The sequence below is a fragment of the Homo sapiens genome, chromosome 11, assembly GCF_000001405.40.
Source record: "Homo sapiens chromosome 11, GRCh38.p14 Primary Assembly".
Lineage (NCBI taxonomy): Eukaryota > Metazoa > Chordata > Mammalia > Primates > Hominidae > Homo > Homo sapiens.
This window is the reverse complement of record NC_000011.10, coordinates 23,530,031-23,543,307: the sequence shown is the minus strand read 5'-3', so window position 1 is coordinate 23,543,307 and position 13,277 is coordinate 23,530,031.

Here is a 13,277-nt window from a genome sequence, read left to right as displayed (position 1 = left end):
ATTAACACTAGTATTATTTCCCTTCTTTTTAAAAAAATAGTTTTTTACTAGATTGTGTAGACTATGTATAAATAAATATATGTGTATACAAACATCCACGCAAACATACATGTAGGTAACTTTCTGTATGTAGTTTAATTTAGAGCTTTTTGTATCATTACTTAATGGCTTTCTAAAGTATTTTCAAATCCCTTGAATCTCAGAAGAGTAAAGAAGATAATAGGTGGTGTGTTCACAGCAAGTATATTAAATTAAAACAAATTATTATTTTTAAGTCAAAAACAGTTGTCAGCATTTTTGCACAGTTCAACCTAGTTGCTCACATTATAATTAGGGAAGGTTATAGAGAAAGAAGCTGTATTGGTTTCGAAGGATGGATAAGATCAAGATACACAACAGTTGAAAGGAAATACAGGTCAAAAGTATTCTTTGTTCACAGCAGAAACATTTGAAATAAAATAAGCCAATTGCCGTTTGCTTGGTATTTCCCAAGAAAGAGGCAAAAATACACCCTCATTGCTCATCGAGTATATTCAAACTTTATAACAGGAAATGACCTGATACTTATCAGTAACTGCTTTAATTACTTTTATTCATTCTGGTTCACTTGTGAGCAACTCTCAGGATACTTGATAGGACAGTATAAAGTCAACGAATTATTGTTCTTCACAAATAATCTTTTTATTCTCTGGACAGTCATTTTACAAAGGAAGACCCATATGAGTACAGTGCTTAATTCCAATCAAGTTGTCCACTTTAATTTGGGAGGTGTAAGGTGTGCTCAAGCACTGATGTAGGGTTATTCACCATGCCTCTTATGTCTCCAGTAGAATTATATGGTGCATAATTTAAATCCCATGATGCAAATGACAACAAGCCTTATATCCAGGTCTGATGTTTAAAGCTAATGAGGAAGTCTACTATACAAGGGAGAATTTCCATGCTAAGAATATGTTGTGACAGAGTACATGTAACATAGACTTTGGACTAGAATCTTTCAGAGTGAAAACTGCTCTCTTGTATATTAACTTGGACATTTAACCCCTTGCCTTGGTTTCCTCATCTATAAAATACACGTATACAGATATTTGATATAAAGCTGAATGAGTTTATTGGAACCCCCAATTAAGATAATATTCATAAATATTCTTTATAAGTGGTAAAGCACATTGACATATAAGCTTCATTTGGTAAATGTCATGCATGTCCGAGTGAAGAGACCACCAAACAGGCTTTGTGTGAGCAACAAGGCTGTTTATTTCACCTAGGTGCAGGTGGGCGGAGTCCGAAAAGAGAGTCAGCAAAGGGTGGTGGGATTATCATTAGTTCTTATAAGTTTTGGGATAGGCGGTGGAAGTAGGAGCAATGTTTTGCAGGCAGGGGGTGGGTTTCACCAAGTACATTCTCAAGGGTGGGGAGAATTACAAAGAACCTTCTTAAGAGTGGGGGAGATTACAAAGAACATTCTTAAGGGTGGGGGAGATTACAAAGTACATTGATCAGTTAGGGTGGGGCAGAAACAAATCACAATTGTGGAATGTCATCAGTTAACGCTATTTTCACTTCTTTTGTGGATCTTCAGTTGCTTCAGGCCATCTGGATGTATAGGTGCATGTCACAGGGGATATGATGGCTTAGCTTGGGCTCAGAGGCATGACAGTAAACAGATATTAAGTAGTTACTAGGTACCAGGCAGTATGTCTAAACCTGAAGACACAAGAGTAAATCATGATCCCTTGGCAAGCCATCATGGCTCAGGCATGTAATGTGGCACTTGGGAAGGCTGAGGCGGGTGAATCGCTTGAACTCAGGAGTTAGAGACCAGCTTGGGCAACATGGTAAAACCCTGTCTCTACAGAAAATACAAAAAGTAGCTGGGGCATGGTGGCTCATGCCTGTACTCCTAACTACTTGTGGGCTGAGGTGAGAGGATGGCTTCAGCCTGGGAGGCAGAGGTTGCAGTGAGCAGAGATCACACCACTGCACTCCAGCCTGGGTGACAGAGTGAGACCCTGTCTCAAAAAAAAAAAAAAAAAAAAAAAAAAAAAAAATCATGATACCTGCACTCAGAATTCTTAGTCTAGAATAGAATTCAGTAAAAGGTAATTTCAATTTAATATGGGAAGGTCTATTTTAAGAATTAACATTTTGTTACACAACTAGTGAAGGGTAGAGCTGGGAAATAACTTCTAATTCATTTAACTTTAGAGCCCTTGTTTCAACCACTGCACTAATTTGCAGTAATAGTGATGCTGCTAGCATGCTAGGAAAGCATCAGATGTAAAAACTCACCCGTAAAAACTCACCCAGTCTTGCCGTTAAAGAGGTTATAGAACATATTTGCTGGAAAACATAAAAATGAGTTTCTCATCTAAAGAAAAGAGAGAAATAATTGCAAACAGAGAAAAGAGAGCTAAGAAAAGCAAAGAAAGCTAGAAAAAGGAAGATGTACTCTGAAAACATCAGTAAGGTTTCTGATGCTAGAGGGTTAGTTGCCAGTTGCTACTATAACAGATTACCTCACATGTAGTGTCTTAAAACAACACTATCACAACACTTAAAACTTATTATCACACAGTTCTGTAGATCAAAATCTGGATGTAGCATAGATTAAAAGGGTGCACAGTTCAGAATTTTACAATGCCAAAACCAAGGAATCAGTAGTCTGCAATCCTTTCTGGAAGCTCTGGGGATAAATCTGCTTCTAACCTCATATAGGCTATTAGTCAAATTCAGTTCCCTGCTGTTGGAAGGTTCCTGTTTCCTACCTGGTTGTCAGCCAGGGAGCCAGTCTTTGCCTCTAGAGGATGCACACATTCTTTCTCATGCTTTTCATTTGACTCACAGTCTCCAGCCCTTCTTAGCAATGGTGGATCAAGCCACCTTCCTGTCTGCCCAGGGCAAAGAGCTAGTGCACCCCCAGCCTCGCTTCACACCGCCCCCCCCCGCCCCAGGAGAGATTTCAGCACATCTCACCCGAGCTCTCCCTAGCACCCCTGTCAGGACAGGTGCTTCCACTCTTCACTGGGGTATCCAAGGGTGTGCCAGCTCTTACTCACAAGTGCCATCTACTGGAAAGAAGATTGAACTGCAGAACCAAATTTAAAAACCTGCCAACAGAAGGGAATAGAACTCGGAAACAAGATAATCAGTCTTCCTGAGACCTCTGTACTCCCAGCGCCACAGAAGATAGCGCGCCTGAGCATATGTCCACTACATTACTACTATAATCGGCATCTGAGAAAGCCACCACTCAACAGAAAAGCTATCTATAACCAAGGAAGTATATACAGTGCTTTTGCCTGCTGAAAGCACCCAGAACCAAAGCTAAATGATCATATACAACATAGGTTACAGTCACCTTCAAGGAGGAAAATAAAAAACTACCATCCAAATGAGAGTAAATTGGCTGGGTGTGGTGGCTTACATGTGTAATCCTAGCACTCTGGGAGGCTGAGGAGGACAAATTGCTTTAGCCCAGGAGTTGAAGACCAGACTGGGCAACAGGACAAAACCCTGTCTCTACAAAAAATACAAAAATTAGATGATGGTGGTGGCACATGCCTGTGGTCCCAGCTACTTGGGAGGGTGAGGTGGGAGGGTCACTTGGGCCCAAGAGGTCGAGGCTGTGGTGAGCCACGGTCATGCCACGATCGTGCTACTGCACTCCAGCCTGCGTGACAGAGCAAGACCCTGTCTCAAACATAAAATAAAAGAAAAACAAATGGGAGTAAATTGAAAAATAAGAAGTAACAGCTTCTTCAGATGAGAAGGAATCAATACAAAAAAACAAAAACAAAACAGATTTCCACACCCCTAAAAAGCACACTAGCTCTCTAGCAATGTACCCTAACCAAAAGGAAAATTCTGAAATGACAGATAAATAATTCAAAATATGGATTATAAGAAAGCTCAATGAGATCCAAGAGAAAACTGAAAACACAAAATTGAAAATACAAGCCATGCAAAGAAAACCCAAAAGAAAGCAGGTATACTTATATCAGATAAAACAGATTGTAAGTCAATTAAAAATTACAGTAAAAAATGACAAAGATTATTACATAATGATGAAGAAATCAATTCAAGAAGTTGTGACAATTCTAGATGTGTATGCACTCAACACCAGAGCACTCAGATTCATAAAACAAATACTAATAGACCTAAGAAAAGATGTATAAGACGATACAGTAATTGTGGGATATTTCAATACTGCACTGACAGCACTAGACAGATCACTGAGGCAGAAAATTAACAAAAGAACCCCAGATTTAAGTTGTATTCCAGAATAAATAGACCTAACAGACATTCACAGAACATCCTGCCCTGCAACTACAGAATACACGTTTTTCTCATCTGTACATGAAACATTCTTAAAATTTTCCCATATATTAGGCCACAAGGCAAGTCTCAATAAATTTTTAAAAAGTCAAAATTATATCAGGCATGTTCTCAGGACACAACGGAATAAAAAAAAATCAATACTAAGATTAACTCTCAAAACTATATAAATACACAGAAATTAAATAACTTACCCTGAATAATCTTTAAATAAACAGTGAAATCAAGGTAGAAATTAAAAATTGTTAAAATAAATGAAAATAAACACATGGCATACCAAAATCTCTGGGAAACAGCAAAGGCAGTGCTAAGAGGAAGATATATTTTAAAAACATAGAAAAATCTCAAATTAACCTTACTTTGCACTTTAAGGAACTAGAAAAAGAAAAACAAACAAAACCCAAAGCTAGCAGAAGAAAAATTATAACAAAGATCAAAGCTGAACTAAATGAAACTGGGACCAAAAACAATACTAAGAATCAATAAAATAAAAAGATGGTTTTTTGAAAAGATAAAAATGACAGACTACTAGCTAGATTAACCAAGAAAAAAAAGAGATTCAAATAAGCACAAGCAGAAAGAATAAGAGTGACATTATGACTAATACCACAGAAATACAAAAGATTATTATATACCACTACGAGCATATTTACCTACACGAACTAGGAAACCTAGAAGAATGGATAAATTCTTGAAAACATACAACCTCCCAAAATTTAACAAGGAAGAAGTAGAAATCTTGAACAGACCAATAGCAAGTAATGAAACTGAATCAGTAATAAAACATTTCCTGACACTAAAAATCCCAGGACCAAATGGACTTATAGCTGAATGCTTCCAGACATGCAAAGAACTATATCATTATCACTGAAACTTTTCCAAAAAAGATCAAGGAGGAAGGAATCCTCTCTAGCTCATTCTAAGAAGGAGTATTACTCTGATTCCAAAGCCAGGTAAGGATACAACAACAAAAAGAAGAAAACTACAGGACAGTATTTTTGATGAACAGAGATGCAAAAACCCTCAACAAAATACTAGCAAACTGAATGCAGCATCACATCACAAAGATAATGCACTATGATTAAGTGGGTTTTATTCCTGGGGTGCAGGGATGTTTCAACACATGAGAATCAATAAATGTGATTCACCAGGTAAACAGAATTAAAAGTAAAAACATTATAATCATCTCAATAGATGTGGAAAAAGCATTTGATAACATACAACATTCCTTCCTAATAAAAACCCTCAATAAACAACCATCCAAAGATCATAACTCAAAATAAGAAAAGCCATATATGACAAACCCTTAGCCAACATCATTTTCAGTGAGGAATAGTTTAAAGCAGCAACTCCCAACCTTTTTGGAACTGGGGACAGATTTCATGAAAGACAATTTTTCTACCGACTGTGCAGAGAGTGGGGAATGGTTTTGGGATAAAACTGTTCCAGCTCAGATCATCAGGCAGTAGTTAGATTCTCATAAGGAGTGCACAAACTAGATCCCTCTCATGTGCAATTTACAACAGGATTCACGCTCCTATGAGAATCTAATGCCAATACTGATCTGACAAGAGGCTGAGCTCAGGAGGTAATGCTTGCTTGCCCACTGCTCATCTCCTGCTGTGTGGCTGGGTTCCTAATCGGCCATGGACCACTACTGTTTGGCAGCCAGGTGTTTGGGACCGCTAAGTGCCAAAGGATTAAAGGATTCCCCGTAAGTCCTGGAACAAAACAAAGATGACCATTTTTATTACCCCTACTCAATTTAGAACTGGAAGTCCTAAATAGAGCAATAAGGCAAGAAAAATAAATAAAAAGCTTCCACATTGGAAAAGAGGAAGTCAAATTATCTGTTTGCCGATAATATGATGCAATACCTAGAAAACACTAAATACTCCTACAAAAAGATGCCTAGACTTGATGTAAAGTTTCAGCGTACAAAATCAAGGTACAAGAAATCAGTAACATTTCTGTGTACCAATAACAATCTAGCTGAGAACCAAACCCAGAATTCAATATCATTTATAATGTCTATAAAAAATGAAATACCTAAGAGTACTTTTAACCAAGGAAGTAAAATACCTCTGCCAGGAGAAATAGAAGACACTAATGAAAGGAATTGTAAGTGACACAAATGGAAAAACGTCTGATGCTCATGGATTGGAAGAATTGATATAATTAAAATGACCATACTGCCCAAAGCAATCTACAGATTCAATGAAATGTGTAACAAATTACCAATGTCATTTTTCAAAGAATTAGAAAATCCAATTCTGAAATTCATATGGAATCAAAAAAGAGCCTGAATAGCCAATGCAATTACAAGCAAAAAGTACAAAGCTAGAGACATCATGTTACCTGACTTCAAATTATACTACAGAACTATAGTAGCCAAAACTGCATGATATTGTTATAAGAATAGATACATAAATCAAAGAAGTAGAATAGATAACCCAGAAATAAAGCCACATACCCACAACCAACTGATATTTGACAAAGTGACTGAAAAGATACAATGGGGACAGAACACCCTGTTCAATAAATGGTGTTGGAAAAAAAATGTATAGCCATATGCAAAAGAATAAAACTGGACCCACATCTCTCACCATACATAAAAATTAAATCAAAATGAATTAAAAACTTAAATGTAAGACCTGAAACTATACAAATCCTAAAGAAAAACCTAGGAGAAATTTTTCTGGATATTGGCCTAGGCAGAGAATTTATGACCAAGTCCTCAAAATCACATGCAACAAAAACAAAAATGGACAAATTAGACTTAATTAAGTTAAAGAGCTTCTGCACAGCAAAAGAAACAATCATCAGAGTAAACAGACAACCTACAGAATGGGAAAATATATATGTAAACTATGCATTTGACCAAGGGCTAATATCCAGAATCTACAAGGAATTCAAACAACCCAAGAAAAAAAAGCAAATATCCCCATTAAAAAATAGACAAAAGACATGAACAGACATTTTTCAAAAGGAGATATACAAGCAGCCAGCAAACATAAATAATGCCCATCATTAGTAATCACCAGATAAATGCAAATTAAAACCACCATCATACACCAGTCAGAATGGCTATTATTAAAAAGTCAAAAAATGACAGATGTTGGCTAGGATGTGGAGAAAAGGAAATGCTTATACATTGTTGATAAGAAGGTAAATTTGTATAACCTTTATGAAAAACAGTATGAAGATTTCTCAAAGAACTGAAAATAGAACTACCATTTGACCCAGCAATCCCACTACTAGGTATATACCAAAATGGAAAGAAACCATTATACCAAAAATATATCTACTCTTGTTTATCACAGTGCTTTTCACAGTAATAGAGCCATAGCATCAGCATAAGTGTCCATCAACAGATGATTGCATAAAGAACATGTGGTATATCTGTAAACTACAGAATACTACCCAGCCATAAAAATAATGGAATCATGTCTTTTGCAGCAACATGGATGGAACTGAAGGCCATTGAGGCCATTATCCTAAGTGAAATAACTCAGAAACACGTGTTCTCATTTACAAGTGGGAACTAAACAACAGGTACACGTAGACATACAGAGTGGAATAATAAACACTGGAGATTCCAAAAGGTGGGAGGGCGGGAGGGGCTTGAGGGCTGGAAAATTACCCATTGGGTACAGTGTTCACTACTTAAATAATGGGTACACTAAAAGCGCAGACTTCACTGCTTGCAATATATGTATATCAGAAATATGCACTTGTACTCTCTAATATAAAAATAAGAAAAAGAAACAAAAACTTGATGAGGAACCACTGAACAGTTTGAAATGAGACAGCAAAGAGGTCGAACCTTCCTCTTAGAAAATAAAGCATAGTAACTACAGATGAAAATGACATAAAGGCCAGTCATGGTGGCTCATACTTGTAATCCCAGCATTTTGGAAGGCCGAGGTGGGAGGATCACTAGAGCCTAGGAGTCTGAGACCAGCCTGGTCAACATGGTAAAACCCTTGTCTCTACAAAAAAATCCAAAAATGTAGCCTGGTGCCTGAATGTAATCCCAGCTACACAGGGAGCTGAGGTGGGAGGATCGCCTGAGCCTAGATTGTGCCACTGCACTCCGGCCTGGGTGACAGAGTGATACCTTGTCTAAAAAACAAAGAAGAAGAAGAAATAAAAGAAAATTACATAAGAAGAGAAACTAGTGGTAGAGACTTTAGTTTGAAGAACACTGGAAATGTTTAAATTAAGAATCCTAAAATGGTTTAGCTGGATGATTTCGGTTCAGGGTCTCTCATTAGGTTGCAGTCAAGATGTTGAACAAGGCTTTGGAATCTAAAGGCTTGACGGGGTCTTGAAGATCCATTTCCCAGATGATTCACTCAGGTGATTGTATCTTGCCACATGAGCTCCTCTCTAAGCTTCCTTACAACATGGCAGTTGGTTTCCATCTTGATGACTGGCTACTATCACTTTATGAAATTATTGACGCTCAAAGTTGCTTAAAACTGAACTGAAATATGGTAAATAATCTGAAAATGTCATCTTTTATTATTTTCATTTTTTTCTATAATACTATGTAAACAAATTGCTAAGGAAGACCACATAATTGAAATAATTCAGATGGCTGAAATAAATGGAGAAAAATATTAATAAATGGGTTACATCTACGTCTAAGTTAGTGATTGAATTTAATAAACAAATGGAAAAAATTTCATTTGATGGAATAAAATAGTTTAAAATATCAATTTTCAAAAAAACGAAGGTTGAGCACACAGACAACTCTACGGGCTCGTGAGGTATATTGTGGGAATGGAGAGAAAAAGAGGTTGAAAACAAAAATCGACAAGATCAGTCAGAATCAGATTTTGAAGGGCTACAGCAAGGCACACTAAAAGCACTCAATGGTCTATTTTGTAGAATAAATAAAAATAACTCAATTGAAGGTCTTGCATTTGAATATAGAAGATAGTTAAGAGCTGTATTGAAAAGATGGCAAAAATCTTTACGTTTAGATGTCATACTATATAATGAGGAGCTATCAAAAATTTATTAAAATAGTTATGTAACAATAAATTTATTTTATCAATAAAATTTAAAAATGAACAGAAATTTCTTGTCAGGTAGCTCCTGAAGTAAGTATACCTGGTTAATGATTGTGATGGTAACTTATTATCACAGACAACATTACTTAATGTTTTAGATGTGTTCATTTAAAATACGAGCTTAAACACGTTAAACAACTTGCATGGTATTTTTAGTAATGTGAGTCTGTAACGTCCAGGTAACAAAAACGTAAGTTTGAAATATCTCTTAAAGCTTATTTTCTAATTAGAAACACCAAGTTGTACCAGTCTGGGTGGGATGAGATATGGCTCAAATCCCTGAAAAGTCCTCAAACTCTCCAGAGACCTCACATGCTCATATTTTATGTTTTCCTAATAGAGTAAATATATGTCCCATTACTCTTGTAAACAAAGAATTGATTCAGTTGGCAAACCACACAATTCCCTGGAAAGTAACACTGCAATATTTCACACCGTCTTTTTAATTACTCTGCTGCTTCTAACAACAACAACAGAAAAACATTGTTCACTTTATTTGTTTTCTCATTATAATAGCCTATAAACTCAGATGTGAAAATGGAATTGCACTGATAGCACATCCATATTTCCACATTTATGGCTACTAACTTGAATTCAAGACACAGACTAGTCCCAGCCTTGATCCTGGGACTGAGACCTAAAGAAATGGAGTCTCTCATATAGGAAGTCAGATGGGCACTGTACAACTGGAGACCTTGCTTTTTATTGCAATGCCTCTGAAAGGATTAATGTATTTTGTAGAAATAAGAATTGCAAATAAATATTGAAAACAGTGTTAATTTCTTATAGATATATTACATGCTTTTACTAGCATTTATATGTAATTATGGAATATACATTTACTAGTTTTTTTTAAGAAAAAGTCTGATATTTTATGGCTTGATGAAAACTAACGAACTTTCCACTGAGCTAGTGAAACAAATAAATTGCATAATACAACATGCTAATAGGGAGTAATAGGGAGTTGATCTAGGAAAAGTCAATGCTATAAAGTGGAGTAGCAATAATCCCATTTTATAATTTTTCAAAATGATTTTTTTAAAAAACTGGTATTTGTTTCTAATTTCTAAAACTATATATATTTTCTATATATTTATAAAAATATATATAGGAAACATAACAGTATATACCAAAGGACTTCTAATTTTTTTAAGAAATTACTTGACTTTGGCTGGCGATTTATCACTGCCTACAGGGAAAAACATAGTACAATATAGTACGTTTCTATAGTATAATATAGAATTCTATATTATATTCTATAGTATAATATAGAATTCTATATTATATTCTATAGTATAATATAGAATTCTATATTATATTCTATAGTATAATACAGAAGAGGACAATAAAGAATGGCTGAGAAAATGAGGAAAAATTCTGGGAACATAATAGTATGAGGACAAAAGAGATAAAGTAGTCTACCTAAGAACTTAAATTTGTGGCATCAAAAATAATAACAGGATGTCATAGAGTGCTGATGGTACCTAGTATACTCTAGGTACCTGGAGACCAGTGGGATGAGGGACTGTGGATTGGGTTAGCAATCACCATAGCCCCATCCTCTGGCTCAGCGCAGAGTTAGCAGATTAAAAAAAAATAAAAATCTATGAATGAATGCTAAAAAGCAATTTGAAAGAAAATGAAAGACAAAACTCACTGATAAAAGTAAATATATAGCCAAATACAGAACAATGTAACACGGTAACAGCGATGGATAAATCACTTTTATTTCTAGGACAAAAGTGAAAAGAAAAAAATATTTAAAAAGCTGTAAATTTAAAATATGTCAATGGTTACACAAGATAGAAAATATAAATTGTGACAACAATTACAAAGTATGTAGTCAGACAAGTAAAAGTGTAACATCTTGGAATGCAATTGAAGTTATCAGCTTAAAATAGAATATTATAATTGTAAGATATTTTATGTAAGCTCCACGGTAACCACAAAGAAAATACCTATAGGAAACATACAAAAGAAGAAGAAAGTAATTAAAACATAGCAATATGAAAAAAATTAATCATACATAAAGGAAGACAGAGAGGAAAAATGGACAAAAATAACCACAAAACAAATAGGAAACAATTAACAAAATGGCAATAGTATGTTATTCAGTATCAATAATTACTTTAAGAGAAAGTAGATTAAACTCCCTAACCAAACTATAGAGATAAATGAATAAATAAAAAACAAGACATAATACACTGTCTACAAGCCATTCACATTAGATTTAAGGATTCAAGTAAGTTGAAAGTGAAAGGATGGGAAAAGGTATTTCATCCAAATGATAAACAGAGGAGAACAAGAGTCATTATACTTATATCAGACAAAATAGACTTTAAGTCAAAAACTGTTATAAGAGTGCATTTATAAAAATAAATGGACAATCTACCAGAAAATATAATAATTATAAATATAACAAATATAAATACAAGATATCACCTTAAGATCGGGTACAAAACAGGGATGACCATTCTTGCCAATTCTATTCAACACAGAACTGGAAGTCCTAGCCAGAGTAATTAGGCAAGAAAGAAAACCTACATGCTTACCTCATGTAAGCTGCTATGGAAAACATGGAGGTTCTTTTAAAAATTAAAAATAGAACTACCGTATGATCTAGCAATCACACTTCTGGGTATATACGCAAAAGAATTGAAAATAGAATTTCAAAAAGATGTCTATACTTTTATGTTGATTGTGGCATTGTTCATAATAGTCAAGATATGGAAACAACCTTAAATGTCCATGGGCAAATTAATAAAGAAAAAGTGGTATATACATGCAAGACAATATTATTCATCCTTAAAAAAACAGGAAAATTTGCAATATTTGACAATATGGCTGACATTTGAGGACATTATGCTAAGTGAAAGGAGCAATTCAGGAGACAAACACTGCATTATTCCACTTGCATGAGGTAGCTAAAATAGTCAAATAATGGAAATAAAAAATAAAATTGTCATTGCCAAGGACAGGGGAGAGGGGAAAATGGGAGTTTTTAGTCAACTGGTATGAAATTTCTATTTTACAAGGATAAGTTCCAGAGATCTGTTATACAACATCGTGCCTATAGATAACAATAGTCTATTGTATGCTTAAAAATCTGTTAAAAAGATAGAACCCATGTTAAGTGTTTCATAACAATGAAAAAAGGAAAAGAATATGGTGATTTACATTTGAAGAAACATGTCTTAAATGTTCTTACAATAAAAAAAAATCAGGATGCATTACAAGGATATGGGGAAATAAATTACATTTAATACCTGCTTTTTAACTACCTGGAGAAGTAGTTTATAATGATGTAGATTTATATTCCTAAACTTCAGTCTTCTCTTAAGGAAAGTGGTATCTGTAATTCTAAAATAAGTCAGTATTCTGCTGTCATTTTGCTATTCTTGACCCAAAATCACAAAATATAGTTTGAGGTTCAGGTTATTTGATAAAGAAATAATATATTTGTGTGTGTGCATATATATGTGTGTATGTGTATACATATATAAAAATTTATGAATTTGTAATATATATAAAAAAATATTTTTCTTTTAGAATGGAACAAATTTAATGTCCCCAATAATGGTATAGATCTAGAATGGAAGAGCATGTTTATGGCTCACTCATTTAATCAGATTTTTTTTTAATTTGTACTCCAGTTGAACCAGTGATTGAATATAGGAAGCATAAACTGGATGTTGATGGGTAACTGCTATGAACTAAATTCTGTCCCCCTCCCATTCATATGTTTTTGTTTTTGTTTTTGAGATGCAGTTTTGTTCTTGTTGCCCAGGCTGGAGTGCAATGGCGCCATCTCAGCTCACTGTAACCTCCACCTAACAGGTTCAAGTGATTCTCCTGTCT